Genomic DNA, 24,025 nt, shown 5'->3' on the forward strand with positions numbered 1-24,025 from the left:
GCCTCGGCCTCCCAAAGTGCTGGGATTACAGGCATGAGCCACTGCACCCGGCCTGTTTTAACTTTTTTTAAGAAATTAAGTTCTGGCTTTCGTTGCCCTTTTAATTTCACGTGAATCCGACCTTCTAGACCCAGTTCATCTCACCTTTTAGCTGTAAGTTTTTCCACACATGACCAGGTACTTTATTTTCAGCTTCTTAATATTTTGAACTGTACGTGAGCAAAATTCCTAAAACAGCAGGTGAACAACAGCGTTCCTGCCTTTTCACTTTTTTTTTTTTTTTTTTTTGAGATGAAGTTTTGCTCTTGTCACCCAGGCTGGAGTGCAGTGAATGGTGCGATCTCGGCTCACTGCAACCTCCACCTCCTGGGTTCAAGCCATTCTCCTGCCTCAGCCTCCCGAGTAGCTGGGATTAGAGGCACCTGCCACCACGCCCGGCTAATTTTTGTATTTTTAGTAGAAACGGGGTTTCGCCATGTTGGCCAAGCTGATCTTGAACTCCTGACCTCAGGTGATCTGCCTGCTTCAGCCTCCCAAAGTGCTGGGATTATAGGAGTGAGCCACTGCGCCGGCCCCTTTTCACTTTTTATTTGCCTTTAGACTGGAAACTCTACACGCATTAACTAACGGATGTATTATCAGTGGTGATCAAAGCCTTACTTAAGTTCTAGAAAGAAGAGAAATAACCTAAGAAACCTTTAGAGTCTATTTGAATAGATAGATTTATATTCATACCCGTGGAGATTTGTGCAGCTATATGAACATAAGTTCAGCCTAAACCTATGTTGCTGAGAAAGAAAAAAAAAGAGTGGATAACAAGCTGGTTCTTATTTCAATATAATATGGCAGGAAGCATCAATTTCTCTGACAAGTTGAACCTTTCTCTCTGCCTCATCAACAAGTAGGAGGGTAGCTTCCTCACGAATATTCAACTTCAAACTTTACAGGCTAGGCTGATGCTTTTTAATCATTCAGGTGTGGATTCTTCAGGGAGTTTCTGTTCCATCAGCCAGGCTCCTTCCAGTGTTTTCTCCCTTATGTTTTGTCTGCCTTTGATCCATGTCAACTATCATCATTAAGATCTCCCCAGGAACTCTCACAGGAGAGAAGAAGAGATGAAAAACACCAAATGGACTTATTGAATGCATTTGTTTCTGAGACCTGCTAGTCACACCAATATACTACACTAGGGCTTTTCTGAACTACTTAAAACAGCAAGAAAAGGCCTACTTCTCTATTCGGTTTATGATTCTATAATCATTGAAACATTTTTAACTGATCTGTCAATAGGAAATTGCTAACACTAGTGTTGATTTCAATTAGTTTAAATCAGAATATTAATATAGTTTAAAATTCTTGTCCAGAGTAGTGGATAAGAGTGCAAGCTCTAGAATCAGACAGTCCTAGGTTTGAACCTTGATTCTGCTGTTTACTAGTTGTCTAATCTGGAACAAGTTACTCAGTCTGACAGTCTCATTTTCCTTTTCTATAAAACAGAAATAACAATACCTGGCTCATTGAAATTATGTGAGGATTAAATGAGATAATGTTAAGCATTAAGCTGTTAGCATAGTGTTTGGCAGACAGTAAATGTTCAGTAAATGTTTGCTCTTATTAACTATCATTAATCCTAGTAATTAACCATGTCTGCTTCTCCTAGTTCTCTGAATGATTAAAAGTTAGCCAAACTACAGCGCCCCCAATAATTTGGGTATGCAAAAGATAGCACTGGAGGGACTGCAACTCAAATGGCTCTTAAAGGGCAGATCTAATTTATAAGCTGAAACTGAAGTCAGAGTATACTTTAGGGGTTTCATTACATAAAACAATGGAAGAGTGGAGGAGCAAGAGGGTTCCCTTAAGGGCAAAGTCCATGATTTTACATCATACATCCTCTACAAAAAGAAATCACATTATTTACCAAAAGAAACACAAATCCTCCAAAGTTTGAGTAGACAATAACTCTTCTAAAGGAAATCTCCGCATGGAAAAGAATGTCTTTTCCATTTCCTTTCCCTTGCATTGTCACGTTTGCCTTAAGATTCCCCTCTTTGCTTCTGTTAACTGCTATTGCATATATAATCTCTACCTTCTAAACTTTGGCCCCAGTGTGACCAAAACCCCCTCTCCTTGTTTCCTAATAGAACAGATAAAATAGGTTATTATTTTCAGAAATAAAAATTTAAGGAGAATCAAGTTGCAAACAGCACAAAGTCAAATTTTTAAAGTATCAAGTTTCTGATCAAGTCCTAGTAAAGCAGTAAATATCTTCAGTGAACCCATATCCCTTCATCCTTTCAGTTTCTGATGAAGTGGAACAACTTTTCAGCTCCTTTGTCTGGTTTCCCTCCCTCCTAGCTGTTTGGGAGTCTCAAAAAAGCCTCAGTTTTGCCCCCTTGCTGGCACCCGAAAGTGAGTCCACTATATTGTCCTTTCCAAGAGCAGATCACTCACCACAACATGGGGCTGAAATCATCAGTGCCTGAGCAACAGTGTGCAATAGAATTTTCTGTGATAATGTCTCTGCACTGCCCAGTATAGTAACTGCTAGACATATGTGGCTATTGAGCACTTAAACTAGTTAGTGTTGTAACCCAAATGCAGGTTCACTCTCTCGCTGCTTGCAGAGTCCACTTAACAAGAGTGAGATCTGGTATAAAGAAAATGATATTTTATTCCAAAGCTACCTTAGGGGAGGAAGTACAGGTTTTCTGCCTTAAGGGTACCATTTCACTTTTGGAGCAGAAAGAGGGTGCTTTTGAAATGGGGCATGGAATGCTGGCATGAATGGCACGAGGGGAGGAAGCGAGTGGTTGGGGGGTCTGCATACTACCTTCAGTGCCTTATCTACTGGACAGTGACTGCTGGTGCCTTTTGTGGGCAGGACTGGGTTGTAAAAGTGGCCAAAACTCTCCAGGTAAGAGAAAGCTTTGTAGCAGGCATACTTTGGGTTGTAGATAGGCTGTTGTCTCTCAAGGCAACCTCCCGGTGGGTGAGAGTTCCTCTCTGGAGCTTCTAAGCACATAGTTAGATGAACCTGCCCCATAGGGAGTGTCTGATAAAGAGGAGGTAAAAGGCTACAATTGCATTTCTAAAGAGCTAAGGAGGAAGTGAGGAGAAGGGGGAAAAGAAGAGAGATTTTTTAAAAATCATTAAACTATCTCTTAGAAAAATGGGGATACTTGGTTACAGTGTGACTAAGGAAATTTTATTTGGCTTTTATTTAAATCTAAGTAGCCACTTGTGGCTAGTGGCTGTCATTGGACAGAACAACTTATGAGCTATTCCACTCATTTCTATGTTCAGTCAAAGAGATATACCTTGTTCACAGTTTATTCAAATGGCAGTGATACCCATTTGAAACAAGAATAATCTATAGCTGCCAGGCCTGAGCTATCAGTTTATCAGCTCCACCTACTTTTGGAATACTCAGTGATGACTTACAGTCATAGAAAGAGGGTTTGTAACCTCCCAAGGAGTTCACCTTGCCCGCTGCCTAGACAGAGCTGGTTCATCAAGACTGGGCAATTAGAATGGAGAAAGAGTAATTCATACACAGCCAGCTGTGCAGGAGAACGGAATTTTATTATTACTCAAATCAGTCTCCCCAAGCATTCGGGGATCAGAGTTTTTAAGGACAACTTGGTTGGGGAAGCCAGTGAGCCACGAGTCCTGATGGTCGGGGAAGAAATAATAAGGAGTCCAAGCTGTCTTCTTGCCCTGAGTTCCTGGGTGGGGGGCGCTGCAAGATCAGATGAGCCAGTTCATCAATCTGAGTGGTACCAGCTGATCCATCAAGTGCAGGGGTCACCAAATATCTCAAGCACTGATCTTAGGAGCAGTCTAGGGAGGGTCAGAATCTTGTAGCCTCCAGCTGCATGACTCCCAAACCATAATTTCCAATCTTATGGCTAATGTTAGTGTTACAAAGGCAATCTAGTCTCCAGGCAACAAGGAAGTCAGCCCCGGGAAAGGGCTGTTATCTGTCACAAACCACAAACTATAAACTAAGTTTCTCCCAAAGTTAGTTCAGCCTATGCCCAGGAATGAACAAGGACAACCTGGTTAGAAGCGAGATGGAGTCAGTTAAGTTAGATCTCTTTCACTGTCTCAGTCATAATTTTGCAAAGATGGTTTCAGATTTGTCAAATTAATTTCCATCCACACTTGTTGGAGTCTCATACTTGCTCATGGTGTGCTTTGTCCTGATGATAAGGAGAAAAAAAATAACTTACATTTTCTCCCCAGAGGCCTGCCTTAGAGTAGGCTCCGAGAGTCCTCTTTACTCTGTGTAATTCTAGCAGATCCGTCCTGATCCTGAGATACATCAGCACTGGGGATACCTTAAAAACTGTGGTAACTTTGGTTATTAAAGGCATTTTCCATCCATTCAAGTTTCCTACTTCCAAGAAACCTCTACTTTAAAGCTGATTTCGCACATGAAAACAAAATACAAACACTTCTCTGCACTCCTGAGAAATGGTCTAGAGAGATCTAATACCAGTTCATGTGTAGTCGTCCTTGCCTAAAAAAATCTCACAACTTACAGGTTTTCAGAAAAGTGGGAGATTTTATTGTCCTGTCTGGGAGTGATACAGTATGGAATTTTCTATTTGGTACAATTTAGAATGTAGCTCCCAAAGCCTTTGACACTTAGTATATTGTTTCATAGGTAATTGTTTATGCTTCTGCCTCTTCACTAGACTTTTCTTCATTTACCCAACAAATATTGAGTGCCTACTCTGCCACACTTTGTTCTAGGTGTTGGGAGCACAGCAGATAACAAGACAGAGAGGGTCCCCCAGGAAATTTATTCTCTAGTGGAAGGAAACTGATAATAAATGAGTAAAAACAATGCAAGATAATTTCAGATAATGTTATGTGTTATGAAGAAAATAAAAATAGGGTAATGTGACAGAGTGATGGGGGGCTCTCTTTAGATCCTGTGGTCAAGAAATGCCTCAGATGAGGGGAAGTTTGAGCTGAGCTCTGAATACAAAGTTATCAGCTCTGCAAAGCCAAGAACAGCCTAGGGTAGCAACAGATAGAAAGTCTGTGTTTACCACTAGAGCAGGTTGTTTATTTCCTTTTGATAATTGCTTTTATTTATTTTTTCTTTTTTTAGAGACAGAGTCTGACTCTCACCTAGGCTGGAGTGCAGTGGTGGGATTATAGCTCACTCTAACCTCTGACTCCTAGACTCAAGTGATCCTCCTGCCTCACCCTTCGGAGTAGCTGTTACTTTTGGTGTGCATTGCCATGCCCAGCTAATTTTTTTCATTTTTGTAGAGATAGAGTCTTGCTATGATGCCCAGGCTGGATAATTGTATTTTTAGTGCTCAACATAATTCTTGGCATTGAATAACAGCAACAACAAAAATAAGTAATATTCGTATCACAAATAAGTGTACCACATGTTTATTTGAATTATCTTGGTTAGTTCTCACAAGATACAAGCCAGAGGAAGAAATTAAGAGATGCTAAATAACTTGGCCAAGGATTTACAGTGGATAAGTGGCAAAGCAAATACTGAACTTAACCAGGCTTCATGACTCCAGAATCTATACTTCTAACCAACCAGTGAGTCTCGTGGAGCACCAGTATCTGCGGTGCTTCCTAAAAATGCGGCTTTCTAGCATCAAGCCAAACCAGCTGAATCTGAATCTCAGAGGGTAGGTGCTAGAAATCTGAATTTTTTTTTCCAAGATGGAGTCTTGCTTTGTCCCCCAGGCTGGAGTGCAATGGCACGATCTCAACTCACTGCAACCTCCTCCTCCCGTGTTCAAGCAATTCTCCTGCCTCAGCCTCCTGAGTAGCTGGGATTACAGGCACGCGCCACCACACCTGGCTAATTTTTGTATTCTTAGTAGAGATGGGGTTTCACCATGTTGGCCAGGCTGGTCTCAAACTCTTGACCTCGTGATCCATCTGCCTCGGCCTCCCAAAGTGATGGGATTACAGGCGTGAGCCACCATGCCCAGCCCAGAAATCTGAATTTCTAATAAATCCACCAGATGATTCTATGCATACTGAAGTTTAGAACCACTGTGCTTTGTTGAAAGATTGAACGAAGCCAAGTTTGTTGGCTCACCCCTGTAATCCCAGCACTTTGAGACCCCAAGGCAGAAAGATAGCTTGAGCCAAGGAGTTTGAGACCAGCCTGGGCAAAATAACAAGACCCCATCTTTACAAAAACTAAAAAAAAAATTAGCTGGGCACATGTAGTCCTAGCTACTTAGAAGACTGAGGCAAGAGGACCCCTTGAGCCCAGGAGTTCAAGGCTGCAGTGAGCCATGATCATGACACTGCATTCCAGCTTAGGTGACAGTGAGAATCAGTCTCAAAAAAAAAAAGGTTGCATGAAAGAGACAAGTCCTCTGCTAGTTGAACTACTTTGTACCACATCTGGCAAATTCCTAAGCCCCTAAACTCTATAAATGCTGGTTCTCCTAAACGTTAAGTCTTTATAATGATCAGCTTAACACTGTGTTGCTACAAAGAAGAAATCTCAGAATCATCTGGGTCCTGCAGGAAGGCTAAAGAAAAATGCTTTGATAAACCCCTGTGCACCAGCATTCTCTCACCCATCCTCCACCACTCCCCAGTCTGGTTTTTTTTGTTTGTTTGCTTGTTTGTTTTTGGTTTTTGAGATGGAGTCTCACTCTGTCTCTCAGGCTGGAGTGCAGTGTCACAATTTTGGCTCACTGCAACCTCCGCCTCCTGGGTTCAAGCAATTCTCCCTGCCGCAGCCTCCCCAGTAGCTAGGATTACAGGTGCCTGCTACCACACCTGGCTAATTTTTTGTATTTTTAGTAAGAGATGGGGTTTCACCATGTTGGCCAGACTGGTCTCGAACTACTGACTGCAAGTGATCCACCCACTTTGGCCTCCCAAGGTGCAGGGATTACAGGCGTGAGCCACCGCGCCCCACCCCTAGTCTGGTTTTAACTAAGGGGATGATCTGAAATCTGACAGTTCCAGGGAGGTCAGGCCCTGTTTACCGGTACAAGCAAATTCAGCAGCCAGCCTCAAGATTTAGCTCCTCTGCTGAGCAAACTGAAGTGCACTCAGGACCTCTGGGCCAAGCCAGCCTTATCTCCCTGTCCCCGCATTTACATACCGAAAGGAGACCTAGCCTTATTGGTGAGTCCTTCAACTGTTATCCTCCAAACTGAGGGTGACCTGGAGTTGAGCTATATTTTCCCTGGAAAATAGGTTGGGGTCAGAGTCAACATCAGAGCAGAGATATGCCCATTTTGGCAGATGTCATATAGGTTTAGGTTTGCCAGAGAAAATACAGGATGCCTACTTATGTCCCAAATACTGCATGGCCCATACTTATTCTAAAAAAGTATTTGCTTTATTTAAATCTGGAATTTACATTTAACTAGGTGTCCTGTATTTTAGTTTCGAAATCTGGCATCCAGGCCCTTTGTAGGAGCATTCAACCAATGGCGTTGTCTCCACAAACATTTAAGCCTCTTACTAGAAGGAACATTAACAAGGGTCGATTTCAGGAGGACACAGTTACAATGGGAAGCCCAAAGAGTGGGTGCGAGCGTGCAGGCGTAGTTCTACCACTTTTTAGTTATGAGAGAAGGGAGGGCTGTCGGAGCTCCTGCAAGGACTCCCCCAAATGTGTGACCAGGATTACTGTCCCATTCTGAGACCGTCAGAGACATCTCTGCCGGGACACATGCCAGTGATTGAAAACACAGCAAGGGCCCCACTAGCTGAAACCAAGTTGCAGAGTTTTGAGGGTCCCACCGCCGACCGCCGGCCCGCCGCGAGCCCTGCCCCCTGCGCGGCCACGCCCCCTTGCTCCCCGCGGCCTCCCGGGTCAGCTGGTGCTGGCGTCAGGCGCTGGGCGGGCTCGCCAGGACCTGGCAAGGCTTGTTTACTATGGCCGATGATCTGGAGCAGCAGTGAGTTAATCCTGTCCCTTTCTCTCTTTCTCTCTCTCTCTCTGGGCCATGATCCTGGGACTGTCTGTGGCTGAGGAACAGTTGTAGACACCTTCCCGCTCTTCCTTTTCCAGGTCGGCCTCCGGGGAGGGCGGGGGGTGGGTGCGTTGCTTGCTTTGCATTTGCCCAGAAGAGGCAGCGGCTGAGCCTGGGGAGCCATGGGAGACGCGCTCGCCCGCAGCCCGGGGATCCTGGCTTTCTACCTTAGTCCTCGCGAGTGCCCCTCATTCTCCTCTGGCCTCTGGAGAGATTCCATGTTGATGTGTGAGATCCCCGAAAGCAAGCTTGTGGGACGCGGGTGCGGAGGTAGCAGCCAGGCGTGCTCGTCTCGACTTGCCCCCCAGAACGGCAGTCGTGGGGATGGAGAGAGCCTCCTCCCTCCGCCCGGCAAAGAGAAGATGTGGAGAGACTGGAGAGGTCTCCATCGCGCTGAAATTGGTGTGGAACAACGGGCTTGCAAGTTTCTTTAGCTGTCGCCCACCGAGACACGTAGCCGCATGTGATCCTAGTTGATAATGCTTTTAATAATCGTAACAACATCTTTAATGCAATGGTTTCAGATTTAGAGCTATTGGGATTTGCTACCACTCTTTCAAGGGCATCAGGTTTGGGATACCACCTGTAGGTGGTGTGACTAGCAGTTCGCAATCTGATAGGAGTAAGAAAAAGTTGCTACGAGAAGAATGACTCAGCTCCCAGCCGAGCCTTGGTTTCACCAGAACTGGGCCTTTCCTGGACCCAGTAATCCTGTTTTTCAGACCTGTAGAACTGGAAGTCCGGGGAACTAATTAACTTTATGACCATAATTAATAGCTTGCTGGGCTTGAAAGAAATGTCCAGGGGAATGTTTTACTTTCTAAGATGACTTTTCCAAGAGGAAATTTGCAATGCTTTAAAGGACTTAGGGAGGCAGAATATTAGAGCTGGAGGACATGCAGGTAGTTCAGCTCCTTTTTAAAAATGAAGAAGCTGGTGTCCATAGAAATTAGGAGACTTGCCCAAGATCACAGAGGTCTAGAACAGGATTCTCTCCCAGCACAGAACCCCTTGTGCTTCACCCCCATCAAGTTGACAGAGACCGTCCTAGCCAGGTTAAGTTCATGGCTGAATGTCTTTTCTGCTCCTTGCCTCAATTTCCCACTCCAGCCCTTACCTCCCGCATAGTTTTGAGCACATACAGTGTGCCAGGCACCATTTCCAGTGTTTACTTGTAACATTTTTGGTGAAGAAGGAAAGCAAAGTAATTCTCCCACCAAGGACTCTCTGCTGAGCAGTCTATGATGCTGTTCCTTGGGTAGCGTTTCTCCTGAACTCTGCTTTGTACAGTAACAGGACAATGTGGGATCCAGGTGTTATGATCTGACTTGTCACAGTCTGTGATTTAGAGAGAAAATTTGTCTCTTAAGGCTGACAAAATCCTGTGGTCTTGGTCCCCGTGCTTCAAGCCTACAAGGAATTCCAGTAGAATATTAAAAGGATTCTGAGTCTCCCTAGGATTAGATCGATTGATATTGACAACTCTCATCTGGCTAAAACCATTGATGTATCACTCCCAGCTGCAACCCCAGTTTTTCTTTCAAACTTCAAACATCCACTGAGAGTTGCTACTTGCAAAACACTGGGAATGTAGACAACTTATGATTTAGCTGGGGGGAAAGAAAGTTGATTGGGAGTTTGTGCTAGGCAATATTCTATGTGCTTTAGATGCATTAACACTTTTAATCTTTATAGCAACCCTATGAGGTAGATATTATTACCTCCCTTTTAAAGATGAGGAAGCTCTGACACAGAAAAGCTAAATAATGTGCCCACAGTCACATTGCTGGTAAGTGACAGTGCTAAAATTGGAACTCTGGCCTTCAGAGTTTAGATCACACCTCCCTTGAGAAAACAGACATAAATGTAAAAATGTGGTTATGTTCTGTGAATATTTGTACATGACCTTGAAAAGCTGAGGCTGGAAGGTTCAGGGAGAGAAACCTGGATTTGAGATAAGGGGCTCTAGTTCTGGTTCTTTTTTTCTAACTTGTATGACCTCTTTGGGCATCAGTTTGCTCATCTGTAAAATACAGAGGCTAGACTAGTTGATTCCTAAGGAAACATCCTAATTTAAAATTCTGTGCTTCAAATGATGTATCAGGATGCCCAGTGTGGGCCAAGGGGATTTGGTCATGGTTCCCCTCACTCCCCCTTAGAGTGCCCTACCTTGAATATGCCAGTGTTCACAGGCCCTTCCTATAGCTGTAGATATCTGTCCTGTAACTCAGGCAGAGTTCAAGAAAAGAGAAATATCATATGGGGTTAACAAGGAATAATACAAACTGTCATTCATTGAGCATCTCATTTGTACTGGGCATCTTACAAGTGTCCTTACATATACAGATGCTCAAAGACAGGTTATTTAATGGGCCAAAACCATTCTGCTCATCAATGATAACACTATGATTCACGTCCAGCAGGGGGGTGTGTGTGTGTGTGTGTGTGTGTGTGTGTGTGTGTGTGTGTGTGTAATTCCAAAGCTGGTGCTTTTAACCTCTACCTTGCAATGACTTAAGGTCCCTGGGTATGAAGGAGAAAACGGGATGAGTTATCTGTGTTACCGCATGTCATTAGAGGTGAGGACATAGGTGAGCTTTCTACTCATTTTACAATCTAGAAAACAAGACCAGAGGGAACCTGTGTCCTGTCAGTGAACCATAACAGAACTTGAATCCAGGTCTCTCACCTCCTCCTCCCTGCCTACCCCATCTCCATGGGTTGGACTGATTGATTACCTGAGAGATCAGTTGGGCACAACACAGTATTCCACACTTCTAGGGGCTTGGAAGAGGGCATACATAAACACCAACCAGTGCCCTGCCAGTAGGGCAGATGGCATGGGAATTTGTCCTACTGTTAAGGAACAGCTAGTACTGGGGACAGCAAAGGATAACTGAAACATTAGTTAAAAGATGCCTCTCCCTTTAATCTCCTTGAACATAAATTATGATAATCAGTAACAAGGAGAAATTAGAAAGCTGAGATAATAAATGTGACAGAGCTTTGTAAACTCTAAAGTATTATATACAGGATGTTCTGAATATCTATTGAAACAAGGGGCATGTTGTTAATACCCATTTACCAAAAAGAAACAATCTATCAGGTAGCTAGGGAACTGCTGCCTGCCATGGGGGGCAGGTCTCTCAAGGCTAGGAAACACCCTGCTTCCTGAGAACTCTTTTGTAACTCTCAGCAAGGCTAAGAGCATCAATGTTTCTTTCCAATGTTGCCAATGAGTGTCTCTGTCTCCTCCTCCCAGGTCTCAAGGCTGGCTGAGTAGCTGGCTGCCCACGTGGCGCCCCACTTCCATGTCTCAGCTGAAGAATGTGGAAGCCAGGATCCTCCAGTGTAAGTAGAATGGACAGCTTGTCCCACCTCCCTCATGGAGCCCAAGAAGGATTCAGGATCTTCCCAGAGCCTGCTACATTGAGCCCACTGATTCCTAATTAACAGTGTGTATGGGGTGGGAGGAAAGGATGTCAGTTGTGTGAGGGAAGAGGTGCATACAGACGGCACCATATCTGATAATAGTGCTTCCTCACCATCTCCCTAGCCATGTGGATAGTTCCTGCCACTTCCTGCAACTTCACCTCAAACCCTATGCCAGTGCCGGCTAACACACACAAACACGTACATTCTCCCCTTCCTCCTTCCTTCTCCCCCATTTCTCTCTTCCTCCCCTCCTCTCTTCTCACCACACAAGTACTTCTTAGATTTACCACCTGCAGATCCTTGGCCAGCAATCTTGCATTCTCTGATGTTACTATTCCTGTGTTCTACCTGGTTTTGGCCCCCCACCTATCTGGTTACCACAGTAGTTTGTGGTTTGCAGACCAGCTGTCATCGGCACTGTTACATTGCAGCAGGGCATCCCACTAGCGGCAGCAGCCACTCGCTCAAACAAGCCCCTTAAGCCACTTCTTCCCATATTTCCCTTATGATCTTCACCACACCCCTACTGCCCCAGCCATAGCTACCCTTTCTCTTCTGGGCCCGAGTAAGTGCAGACAAACAGCAGCCAGAGCTCTCAGGCCTCTGTCCAGGATCCAGGCTGCTTCACCCAGGCAGCTCTTCCCGGGAGACTGCTGTCACACCAGCAGAACAAGCACTGCCCCACCTCAGTCTCTCACCCGAGGCTCAGTCCACACCCATCACTCCCTCCAACTGGCTGGACCACAGTTCTGTCCATCCATCAAGCCCCAAGCACACACAGGTTCAAGAGCAATAGATGCAAGAGCTCTGTGGGGTTGGTGGTGTCACTACCACCTGGGGCTAAAGGGAGCTGGGCACGCTGTTTCAAGGGATAAGACGGTCCCGCTTATTATGTACAGACTACATGGTCTGTAAATGTGATTGGAGTTGAATTCTTTAGAGTGTGTAGTGTTAAAGAAAAAGTGATTCTGACAGATTAAATCGGTAAAGATCATTCAAAACTACTGCAATAGGGGAGAGAGATCAGGCTCAACTCTTGAATACATTAAGGACTAGTGGGGATTTATAACCAAGCAGCATGGTGAGGGGGGTCAGTGGATAGAAAATTGCTGAGGAGATATCAAAGATAAAGGGAGATATCAAAGATAAAGGGAGTTCTTTTCAAACCAGTTTAACAGGATCATTGCTGAAGGAAGGTCAAAGGTGAGGGATGAGGAACTTGATCAAATATGAAGGAATTCTTACTAACTGATGTATGACTTACTCATCCTGACTTTGCAGGATTCTTGCTAAGACTGAGCTAGACATTTGGAAGACAGGCCAGGGGCCAAGGTCAAAGCCTAGTCAAGAAGAGGGCTCAGAAGGGCTTGCCTAAAGTTTGGTTAAGGAGAGAGTTGTTTTCAGTGGTCAGAGGGTTGTGAGAGGAAGGAGCTGAGGGAAGTTGGGGAGGGTTCGGGAATGGAGAGAATGTGAAGAGTGGTAGTCCAGGCAAAATGATGATGCCGTCAGGAAACACTTATTGACTTACCATGGGATTCTTTCCTCCCCAGGTCTCCAGAATAAGTTCCTGGCCAGATATGTATCCCTCCCAAACCAGAATAAGATCTGGACGGTGACTGTGAGCCCCGAGCAAAACGACCGCACCCCCTTGGTGATGGTGCATGGTTTTGGGGGCGGCGTGGGTCTCTGGATCCTCAACATGGACTCACTGAGTGCCCGCCGCACACTGCACACCTTCGATCTGCTTGGCTTCGGGCGAAGCTCAAGGCCAGCATTCCCAAGGGACCCGGAGGGGGCTGAGGATGAGTTTGTGACATCGATAGAGACATGGCGGGAGACCATGGGGATCCCCAGCATGATCCTCCTGGGGCACAGTTTGGGAGGATTCCTGGCCACTTCTTACTCAATCAAGTACCCTGATAGGTAATAAGGAGATGGCTCCATCCCTCGTGACCTAATTCCTGGCCTTACTGGGAACTTTCCAGTATTCATTTCCAAACTTCTCTCATTCCCAGGCGATTTAAGGGGCTATGGCAACTACCAGAGAATATAATGTGTCTTCTCCTCTTTCCGCCTTTAACATAGAGTTAAACACCTCATCCTGGTGGACCCATGGGGCTTTCCCCTCCGACCAACTAACCCCAGTGAGATCCGTGCACCCCCAGCCTGGGTCAAAGCCGTGGCATCTGTCCTAGGACGTTCCAATCCATTGGCTGTTCTTCGAGTAGCTGGGCCCTGGGGTGAGTAGCCTGTAGTATCTCCTTAAAGGAAGGCTATAACGTTCTAGAAGGCCCACAGTGTCTTTCCCACTTATTCCTAAAAAGTGGAAATTGGCCTAGCCTTGTTATTTAAAGCTGTTAATCTGAACCAGATCACTTTGTTCAAGGTTTGAGAAGGTTTTTTGTTTTTTTGTTTTGTTTTGTTTTTTTGAGACAAAGTCTCGCTCTGTCACCCAGGCTGGAGTGCAGTGGTGCGATCTCGGCTCACTGCAAGCTCCGCCTCCCAGGTTCATGCCATTCTCCTGCCTCAGCCTCCCAAGTAACTGGGACTACAGGCACCTGCCACCATGCCCGGCTAATTTTTTGTGTTTTTAGTAGAGACGGGGTTTCATCGTGTTAACCAGGCTGGTCTCGATCTGACCTCGTGATCCGCCTGCCTCGGCCTCCCGAAGTGCTGGGATTACAGGCGTGAGCCACCGCGCCTGGCCTGTTTTTTGTTTTTTGTATTTTTTCTCTTCATCGGCATGGGAAAAGCTTTTCCTATGCCAGGAACAGGTGGAGCAGAATAGCTACCAGAGTCTCACTCTATCTCCCAGGCTGATGTGCAGTGGTGTGATCTCAGCTCACTGCAACCTCCGCCTCCTGGGTTCAAGCCATTCCCCTGCCTGAGCCTCCTGAGTAGCTGGGACTGCAGGTGTACCCCACCACACCTGGCTAATTTTTGTGTTTTCAGTAGAGACGGGGTTTCACCATGTTGGCTAGGCTGGTCTTGAACTCCTAGCCTCTAGTGATCCATCCGCATCAGCCTCCCAAAGTGCTGGGATTACAGGCATGAGCCACCACACCCAATCTGTGTGAAATTTTATGAAAACCTGCTGGTGATTCATGCCCAGTAACCACTGGATCCCATCCCTGTGGTTCACCCAACACCTGCAGCAGGGAGAGGTCAGAACCAAAGCCTCCAACATAACCCACAGTGGCAGGCAAGCCCCTCTGAACCATGCACTTGTCCAGGCAAGCACCACATCTTCACCTGCTCTGTGTCACCTAGCACTTGGTAGCTGTCAGCAAATTCTGTGGGTAAAAGGGAGAAAAGGAGGTGGAGGACCATGGGGAGCTAGCCATAATGAATAGTATCAATATCTCCAGCCTTCTGACCTCACACTGCCAGCACCCTTCTCCGCTGGGGAGCTTTTTACTCTGATGAAGTGCAAAGCAGAAAAGTGCAATCTTTTCCAATGGAAAAGATTGGTGATGCCTGTCTTGTACTGATGATTGTGCTTACAGAGTAATATTCAATAGCCAATTATTATGAGTTAATTGCTGATGGCTAAGTAAGAGTTATCTCTCTAGGTCCTTCAAGAAAAACAGAATGATTCCAGATAAAGAAAAAAAGCATTTGATTAGAAGATAGGAGTTTAGGAGTTCTGAGAGAGAGGAAGGATACCAAGACACGGGTGCCAAAGGACAGTAAGTGGGCAGAGGCTCCCAGCACCGTGGTCTCCAACAGAGTCTATAGTCCTTTGCCAAAAAGAAGGTCTGCTCGAGCTACTCTCCCCTATTCTCACCTCTGGCCAGGCTCATGCAGGAGCATCAGAGCTATCATAGTTGGGGAAGTTGGCCAGCAGCCATGAGGGACTATGCAGGAGGGAGGGCCAGGCCCATGCAGATCCTCATGGCACCCCCAACCCAGCCCCTTCTTACCTCCCTCTTGCTTCTCATAAACAGAGAGAAGACCAGAGAGAAAGAGAGAGATCAGGGATCAGAAGTTGACCAGTAGACCTCATTTTTACAGTCTGTTGTTGCATGTATGTATACCATAATGAGGTGAAACGAACAGATTGTTGTAAAACAGTGCCCTGAGTCTGAGACACGATTGTGTTTAGTTCACCTCTCCACATATTCTAATACAGGCCTGAAAATGAGAGCGCTGTCGGGAGGTGGTCTAGTTCCATCCGCTACCATCAGAAGATTAAAAGGCCATAAGGGTGTCTGGGAGAAGGAGAACATAGCTCAGGCTATAAGAGAAGAGCATCTCAGCCATGGATTCTGATGGGGAGGGCTTGTGATTCTTGCAGGGAAAGATCTCGGGGCTTCATTGAGCTGAAAACAACCTGGCTCCTCAGTGTTGTTAGATTGTCTCTAAATTCTCTGGTAATGAGCTGACTTTGTGATTTGAAGTCACCTGGACCTTCCCAGTAGATTCCTGCACTCTTTCTGCCGCTGTAGTGTTAAATGAATAAAGCAAACAAACCCTTAGGAGAAATAAGGTTTAGTTAAAGTTCTCAAAACATACACAGGCAGGAGTCTTCCCTGCCCCACCTCCCAAATTGGCCTGTCTGTGTTTTTCTATCCCCTCCCAGGGCCTGGTCTGGTGCAGCGATTCCGGCCGGACTTCAAACGCAAGTTTGCAGACTTCTTTGAAGATGATACCATATCAGAGTATATTTACCACTGCAACGCACAGAATCCCAGGTGAGGGCCGCTCCCCAGGCCAGCTTGGGGCAGACAGTTGTTAGGAGATAAAACTCTTAGCTGCTGGAGTTCTGGGCTTTATTTCTTCTTCAACAAAGCTCTGACTCAGTTAGGTAAACACAGGCACTAGCAAGCCTGATCATTTCCAGAGAGTTCCCCAGGGACAGACACAAAGGAATACAGAAGATAATAGATTAATTAAACATGCTGCCCATCTCTAGAGGAAGGCCCTCCCTGTTCCCTACAGGTATGCAATTGGCCTGATGAACAAGAGTCTGGAAAATATTAATATTTTAAAAGATTTTTTTAACTGAAAAATTGATACAAACATGGTATTTTTTTTCTTTTTTTAGGTCAAAAATAATTAGCAAAAACATGATATTTTTCAAAAGGAAAGGAAGTCTTCTCCTGTCCCGGGCCTGTAGTCCCTACATTTCCTTATTATTTCCAGTCTAACATAGCACATGTACCATTTCTTCAGAGGGCCTCCATGTACATATTCCTTTGTACACACATGTGACTGTATCTGTTGAACACATTACTACCAATAGAATTTCTCAATGAAAGAGCATGCATTTTAAAATTTAATTATGTGCATTTGAAATGCCTTATCATTGAGACAGAAATTTTTTTGCATCTTTGGGAGATTTGGGGGTGTCTCGAGAACTTTGAAAAGTTCCTATCTGGGGCTGCTTATTTACACAGCAGGCCCCACAAGCCTACCTACCTGCAGTTTGGGCACCGTGGATGGCAGGGCAGTCAGGGAGGTAATCCTCTTATGTGGAAGTGCCCTGTGACTGGCTGATACCACGAGGCCATGTTGGTGACACCCCGAGCTGCTGGGAGGTATCTCAGCAAAGGCAAGCTTACTGCCCTACTCCTTTCTAGGGCTGTCCAAGTCACTTGTTGGGAGCCCAAAGCCATGAGAAAGGCAGAGATTTGCATTCCAGCAATACTGTCTGAACATTAACCTCAAACCCCAACAGCTGTTGGGCAGTGTGTGAGCTGTCTGTCCAGCATTCCACATGAGCTCAGCTAATTGAAGAACCCTGATCAAACAGTAGTATAGAAACTCCCAGCTCAGCAGTCAAATCAGGTTCCCCTGTCTTCCTGCCGTTGGCCCTTCTCTCAGCCCCCATGGGCTCAGTGCCTGTCTCATACCCACCTGAGGCCCCACAGGCCCAGCCCTAGCCCTTTCCCCAGAACTTTCCCCATCCCAGACCTAGTTCTGTACAATGTCCTCCCAACCTAAGCCACAGAGTATATAAGTTTATAATTCATTCACATCCCAGAGGAAGCAAAGGTGACATCAGTGACAACCAGCTCCCTCACCCCCAAACACCGTCACTCAATTTTGTAACTCCCTGAGTTTTTTGACTTTGTAACCCTGACAAGCTCATGGTAACTCTTATCATTTCCTTGGAAAACATGAAATTTGACCAACATGTTTGAGGGTATCTACTTCATCTCACCTAAACTTAGGGGCTTTGTATATATTTTTATTTTCCTAATGATGTCCTAGTGAAGTAGGTATAATACTCTACATTTATAGATGAGGAAACTAAAGTATATTCTGGTTACATGACTTGCTAAGAAAACACAGCTGAGGATTTGAATTCATTTGACTCCAAATTCCATGCTTTTTCTGCCGTGCTGCAGTATCTTAAGGAAAAATTTATTTCTGATGGCCTGGGCAGAACTCAGGTTCCCTTTCATCTGTACATGTAAAAGAGAATGGAGATCTGATGGTACTAAACAGGCCAAGCCTAGGAGGCAGCAGTGTCCCCAACCTGCCCTATCTCTAGCAGAAGCTGCAGACCAGCCCCAGAAAGCTGGCTCTGCCCCAGCCTTGTGGACACCTCATGATACGGCCTCAATTCATTCTACCTGAGCAAATGACCGGGGAGTGAAATAGATTACATTGGCATTTGTTGTTTCTTGCTTAACAGAAACTGCTGCTCCCCCAGCCCTTGGAAGACTGATTTTTAATTCCAGAGTCTTCTCAGGAAGCCCTTTTTACTACTATAGTACTCACTTTTAAGCGTTCACCTCAGATGAACTTCTGACCATGTCTCTAGACCCCCAACAGGCTAAATCCCCAGTCTGTGTTTTCATAGCACTCGACCACCTTTTCATCCTTCTTGGGAAATTTTAAGTTGTTTTTTGTTTGTTTGTTTGTTTGTTTTTGAGATGGAGGTTTGCTCATTGCCCAGGCTGGAGTGCAATGGCACGATCTCGGCTCACTGCAACCTCTGCCTCCCAGGTTCAAGCGATTCTCCTGCCTCAGCCTCCCAAGTAGCTGGGATTGCTGGCATGCACCACCATGCCTGGCTAATTTTGTATTTTTAGTAGAGATGGGTTTCACCATGTTGGCCAGGCTGGTCTCGAACTCCCGACCTCAGGTGATCTGCCCGCATCAGCCTCCCAAAGTGCTGGGATTATAGGCATGAGCCTCCATGCCTGGCTGTTCGTTTGTTTTTTTGAGACAGAGTCTCGCTCTGTCACCCAGGCTAGAGTGCAGTGGCGTGATCTTGGCTCACTGCAACCTCTGTCTCCCAGGCTCAAGCAATTCTCCTACCTCAGCCTCCTGAGTAGCTGGGATTACAGAAGCGCACCACCACGCCCCGCTAATTTTTGTATTTTTAGTAGAGACAGGGTCTCACCATGTTGGCCAGGCTGGTCTTAAACCCCTGACCTCAAATGATCCGCCCGCCTCGGCCTCCCAAAGTGCTGGGATTACAGGTGTGAGCCACCGTGCCCAGCCCAAGAAATTTTAAATTAAATAACAATTAATCATATGATTAGTTACTTAATGCCTACCTCCCTAACACATGAGCTAAAGTGTGTGAGCTCCAGGAGGGACAGCATCCTGCCTTTCTTGTTCATATGTCCCCTTTCCCAGTCCAGGGCATGACAGAATATTTGTTGAGTCAATAATAACCCATTTCATTCTCAGATTCTTGGACAGTTCGTACTGCCATGGGGTTTTTCACAAGTGTTCCTCCGAACTCTTCTGTGATGGGAGGCCTCTGGAATTTTGGTCTTCCCCTAATCTTACCAATATTTAATGAGCCCAGTGTGGGGCTTTGACAGGAATACAAAGGTGACTAAGATTCTGCCTCAGTCTCTGAAGAGACCAACAAGTTGACATATTCTGCTGTGAAGTTTATTGCTGTTTTGCTTTTGACAGTGGTGAGACAGCATTCAAAGCCATGATGGAGTCCTTTGGCTGGGCCCGGCGCCCTATGCTGGAGCGAATTCACTTGATTCGAAAAGATGTGCCTATCACTATGATCTACGGGTCCGACACCTGGATAGATACCAGTACGGGAAAAAAGGTGAAGATGCAGCGGCCGGATTCCTATGTCCGAGACATGGTATGTTGCACCACCCAAGGAGTGGAAATGATGACTGAGAGTCAATCACCTCTCAGCCTTGGGGTAGAGAAGGGTGATCAAGGAGAAAGAGGAATGGACAGACTGAGATAGAGCAGTAGATTTGAGAAGTTTGGAAACTCTCTTTGGAATATCTTTTTTTTTTCGTGATGGAGTCTCGCTATTGTTGCCCAGGCTGGAGGGCAATGGTACAATCTCGGCTCACTGCAACCTCCGCCTCCCGGGTTCAAGCGATTCTTCTGCCTCAGCCTCCCGAGTAGCTGGGATTATTAGCATGCGCCACCACGCCCAGCTAATTTTGTATTTTTAGTAGAGACGAGGTTTCTCCATGTTGGTCAGGCTGGTCTCGAACTCCTGACCTCACGTGATCCGCCCACCTTGGCCTCCCAAAGTGCTCGTATTGTACTACCTTCATTAGGGGCTTCCTGCTTTTAGCCCAGTTCAGCTAAAAGGCTGGTTCTTGTCTAGCAGCCAGGCACCTGCTGCTACTCCAGCCCCCATGTAGTTTCTACCCCAAAACCAGAGCCATGGGCAGTAGAGTGAATAGTAGAGGCTGCCATGAAGCTTCCCCACCACACCTCCTCCCCTTTTTTCTTACCCCTCTCCGCCATGTGCCAATGAGTGTGCTTAATGAGGCTGGGTGCCAACCATGGGCCCAGGTTTACTGGACCTTTGGATTAAATGAGCAGATCAGTGGTGGGGCTAACACAGAAGGAAAGACACAGTGAATGTTTATCAAGTAAGTAGAATGGGAAAGCATTGGCTGTCAAAGGAAAATACCAAGATCCAAGCGAGAAAGGTGGAGCATTATCTCTGATAAGAGCTCGTGGGTGGCAGGCAAGCAAGTCTAAGGGGAAAAGAAATAGCGTGAAGGCTTCCCAGCACCAGGAATAAAAGGCCATCCCACCCCTGCGGGTTCTCTCTCCACAGGAGATTAAGGGTGCCTCCCACCATGTCTATGCTGACCAGCCACACATCTTCAATGCTGTGGTGGAGGAGATCTGCGACTCAGTTGATTGAGCTGCTCTCTGAAGAGGAAGAGGAGAAAGCCAGAGAGTCACTCTTACCTCCCTGTCTGCTTACTCACCCACTCTGTCCTTTCCTCACCAACTAACATGTGCCAGCCAGGCAGAGTCTTGTGCTGTTCCCAGAACAGGACGACAGTGAAAAGAACACTCTTGACCCTACACTGAAGGCTGAAGGCAGAAGCCACAAGAGGCCTTGAGTGCCACCCCCAGGGAAGAACATAAAGGGTTGCACAATGCCACCCATCCACTCCTTGCCAAGTGTTACCCAGATGGTGGAGGATGTGAAGGGATTGCACCAAGCCACATTCACTCTCTCTGTGGCCTTTCTTCCTCTGGGCAAAGAAGGGCTTCCAGTGGCCTTTCCTCACTCTGTAGTGTTTGTGGGGATAGGTTCCATGCAAGAACACCTTCCTCCTCCATCCCCCACTTCACCCCATCCCATACCAGTTCCATCCAGGGTCTGCTTAACTGCCAAGAGCAGGTCCTGGAGTTCCCTTCACCTGCAGAGTCCTTTTCATGACCTAGGAGGTCTTATTCAAAGCCCTCATTGACAGAGGAGGAAACAGGCCAAGGCAGGACATGGCTGGACCATGGTGATACAGCTCTGTGTGATTCAAGTTCTGGCAGAGCTTGTAAGGCTAGAGCCCAGGTCTGCCGACACCCTGTGCTTGTTGCACACTTGATTTGCTAAGGCTGGAGACAGGCACCATTGCCATGGGGCTGGTCCTAGTCACTGGCCGAGGATAAGCCCGTCCCTGTCCCACATTCTAGCCCCACTATGCGGGGGTGCTGTTGTCCTGCCTGTGTCTCATCCCCGGCTGCCTAAGCTAGGGACACTCAAGTGCTTCCTTCCTTGCCCCATCTTCCTCCCAACTGGAGGCCTCTGAGCCTCCCCTGTGCCTTGGGCCCTGAAGCCCCATATGTAGTATAGAGCAAAGGTGGCTCCTGGTGAAGAGAGGGTGGAAAGGCCCTTCAGCCCCAGGGCCATGTCTGGGTTCTCCATGCCCATCAGTCTCTGCAGTTTCTCTACCTGCCCCCAGAGCTGAGGCCATCTGCAAGCCCCTGCCCATGGCCCAATGGGGAGCCTCCAGCCACAAGTTCCCTGTCCTTATCAGCCACTGGGTGGTTCCCACTGCATGACCCTCTATCCCTGCCATCTGTCCCCATGGTTTCCAGCTCAATCCACCCCTGACCCATCTGTCAGCTTTTTCCCAGGGAGCCGTTTCAGGGGTTCTGGGCAGTAGGCTGGGCCTGGCCTCAGAACCTGGTGGCTCCTGCCTGCTCCTTCACTTTTGTAAAACCATCCCCTTCACCAGAATGGTATTAACTCCTGGTGCTTTGTACTACTGGTCCAGCTGCCCTGGGCTCCTTTTCTATATTAATAAAGAAACGAGTAAAAATTACCGGTGGGGATGATGTTTAAAATTGCTCTGATCACTGGTGGTGCTGAATTCGCAACAGCCTGTGTGATGCCTGAGAGAAGGGAGTCCTGAGGGTTGCCTGCCTACCCACGACTCCTTCTCCTTTTAGTGTGGCGTTTGCCCGCTAGACCCAGCCCAGAGTCCAGGTCAGCACAGGCCCTCTCAGCCAACCACTCATGACAAATGAGGAGTCGAGATCCACAGTGTGGATGGGGCAAGCCCCAGTTCACAGTAGAGAGGTGGAACTTAGTACTTCCTGCTGCCCATTAGACACCCTTTCTTCCTAAGTTCAAGGGAAGCCCACACATGTACTGCTCCCTGCATCCTGCTCTAACTTCCTCTCATCCTCTGGATCTCAGCTCAAATATTCCTTATGCAGAGATGCCTTCCCCTGATTCCCTAAACTAGACTCGGACCCCTCTGTTCTGCATCTCTGTGGCATATCATCTGCCCCTTTTGTAAAACTTATAAACTTGTGGTTACTTGTTTAGCGTCTCTTTCCTCCCCAGACCATAAGCAACATAAAGACAAAGGGTACATCTAGCACATAGTTCGTGTTCAATAAATGTTTGTTTTCATCATGCCACGGGAAGTGAGATATACCAAGTATTCAAAAAAGTGTTCAAATCATTACTAACAGTGCTTGCTCTGTGCTGGCTGAGTCCAGCTGGGCCCAGAATTCCACGGTTCTAAATGGCGCATATTCCATGTGCATAGGCTGATTGAAAATGTATTAAACCTAAATTTTAAAAAAAAAGCACATGATACTACACATGTCATGATGAATGAATAGACAGAACTCCTCCTGAATATAATTACAAAGTTCTGATCCATCTCAGGACCCTGTGTCTTCTCTGAGGATTTTTATAGGGAGGAGAAGGCAGGTATATAGAGCTTACTACATGCCAACCACTAGGGCTGCAATAGTGAAGAAACAGAGAGTGTCTGCCTTTGTGAGAAATTCCAGTTCACTCAAAGAGATGCACCTAGTCAAAATATTATGTAAATCAATGTAAAATTGCTAAAGTGCTACCCGTGAGAATTGAGAAAACCTCCTGCAGAAGTGATGGCAGCTGTGCCTGAAGGCAGGACCAGGGAAAGGGGAAGGACTGTCTGGAGAGAGGGGCGACTGCAAAGGCAGGTGGCTGGGAGAGAAGTCTGGTGAGATCAGTAGGGACCAGCTCAGCAGATCCTCTGGCCACATGAAGAATGTTGTGTTCATTCTAAAAAGCAATGGAAGGAAATGAATGGGGGTCAGGGTGGGGTAGGGAGTGTGACAAAATCAGCCTGAGATTGAAAGAGCCATTCTGGCTGCTCTGTGGAGTTCAGATGAGAGGGGGATGAGAACTTTGAGGCTGCTGCAGTGGTCCAGGCCAGAGCTGATGGTAGTTTGGACTTGGCTAGGGGCTAATGGACACAGAGAGGGGAAAAATGCAAAAGATGCTTAGATGGTAAAATCTAAAAGACTTAATATCAACACTGCATGACCCTACCACCCTCTTGAAGAACGGGCCAAGTGAGGCAGTGGTTACCAAACCCAGTCACATAACAAAACAACCTGGGGGTATTTTTTTTTAAATATAGATTCCTGAGCTGTATTCCCTAGAGTTTGATCTGGTTAACCTGAATGGAGTCTGACCGTGAAATCTACATTTAAACACATTCCTAGGAGATTCTGGTGCCCTGTGTCTGCAGGAACTGGTCTAAGGGACTCTGTCTCTGACATTTGACCCAGAAGGCTGGGTAGAGTAGGGCCTGTGCCCCTGAGAGTTCATTCTGCTTGCTCCAGAATCACTTTTTTTTTTTGGAGGTAGCACAACATGCTGATCTGCTTTTTCCAACTCAACACGAGGCAAACACATTCTTCAGGAGCAGACGCAAGAAGAGTCTGAGAAAGGTCACCCAGAGTCCCCTGTTTATACTACATGGTCTGCACGCATGGGCACAAGCCAGCACGCAGACACACACCCCATCTGACAGGAACATTCCTAACATTCCACTAGGTGGGACTAAGAAATTACTATGAACATTCTACCCAATCAGCACAGTTTC

The 24,025-nt window shown here is 46.5% G+C and overlaps 1 protein-coding gene across 5 annotated transcripts, besides 2 other annotated features; it reads left to right on the forward strand.

The window, feature by feature from the left end:
* Positions 7,581 to 7,780: a silencer, noted in NCBI's record as "silent region_5587". NCBI's record gives its function as "represses an Ori minimal core promoter by ATAC-STARR-seq in GM12878 lymphoblastoid cells {active_cell/tissue: GM12878}" and the evidence as "EXISTENCE:reporter gene assay evidence [ECO:0000049][PMID:35858748]".
* Positions 7,891 to 8,130: an enhancer, noted in NCBI's record as "active region_8136". NCBI's record gives its function as "activates an Ori minimal core promoter by ATAC-STARR-seq in GM12878 lymphoblastoid cells {active_cell/tissue: GM12878}" and the evidence as "EXISTENCE:reporter gene assay evidence [ECO:0000049][PMID:35858748]".
* On the forward strand, positions 7,896 to 22,559 carry ABHD4 (abhydrolase domain containing 4, N-acyl phospholipase B). 5 transcript variants are annotated; one of them, NR_171624.1, is made up of 8 exons: positions 7,896 to 7,925; positions 11,263 to 11,351; positions 12,986 to 13,358; positions 13,521 to 13,675; positions 15,383 to 15,462; positions 16,018 to 16,129; positions 19,320 to 19,506; positions 20,455 to 22,559. NR_171624.1 is itself a non-coding variant. In NM_001392009.1 (7 exons), the coding sequence occupies exons 2-7, from the start codon at positions 11,312 to 11,314 to the stop codon at positions 20,542 to 20,544; spliced, it is 957 nt and encodes a 318-aa protein (NP_001378938.1). In that variant the 5' UTR covers positions 7,896 to 8,038; positions 11,263 to 11,311; the 3' UTR covers positions 20,545 to 22,559. The 5 variants fall into 5 exon arrangements, 2 of the variants coding, with proteins under 2 accessions (NP_001378938.1, NP_071343.2); NR_171626.1 differs by lacking the exon at positions 15,383 to 15,462 and having other exon boundaries at positions 12,986 to 13,092; positions 13,208 to 13,358; NM_001392009.1 differs by lacking the exon at positions 15,383 to 15,462 and having other exon boundaries at positions 7,896 to 8,038.
* The last annotated feature ends 1,466 nt before the right edge of the window (positions 22,560 to 24,025 follow it).

Source organism: Homo sapiens, chromosome 14 (genome assembly GCF_000001405.40).
Source record: "Homo sapiens chromosome 14, GRCh38.p14 Primary Assembly".
Taxonomy (NCBI): Eukaryota; Metazoa; Chordata; class Mammalia; order Primates; family Hominidae; genus Homo; species Homo sapiens.

Excerpts from the sequence above, each read along its gene's own strand:
- ABHD4 (NM_022060.3), top strand. The coding sequence starts at position 7,903 with ATGGCCGATGATCTGGAGCAGCA. Across the intron at positions 7,926-11,262 it reads GCCGATGATCTGGAGCAGCA|GTCTCAAGGCTGGCTGAGTA; the intron begins GTGAGTTAATCC and ends TCCTCCTCCCAG. Across the intron at positions 13,676-16,017 it reads TCGAGTAGCTGGGCCCTGGG|GGCCTGGTCTGGTGCAGCGA; the intron begins GTGAGTAGCCTG and ends ATCCCCTCCCAG.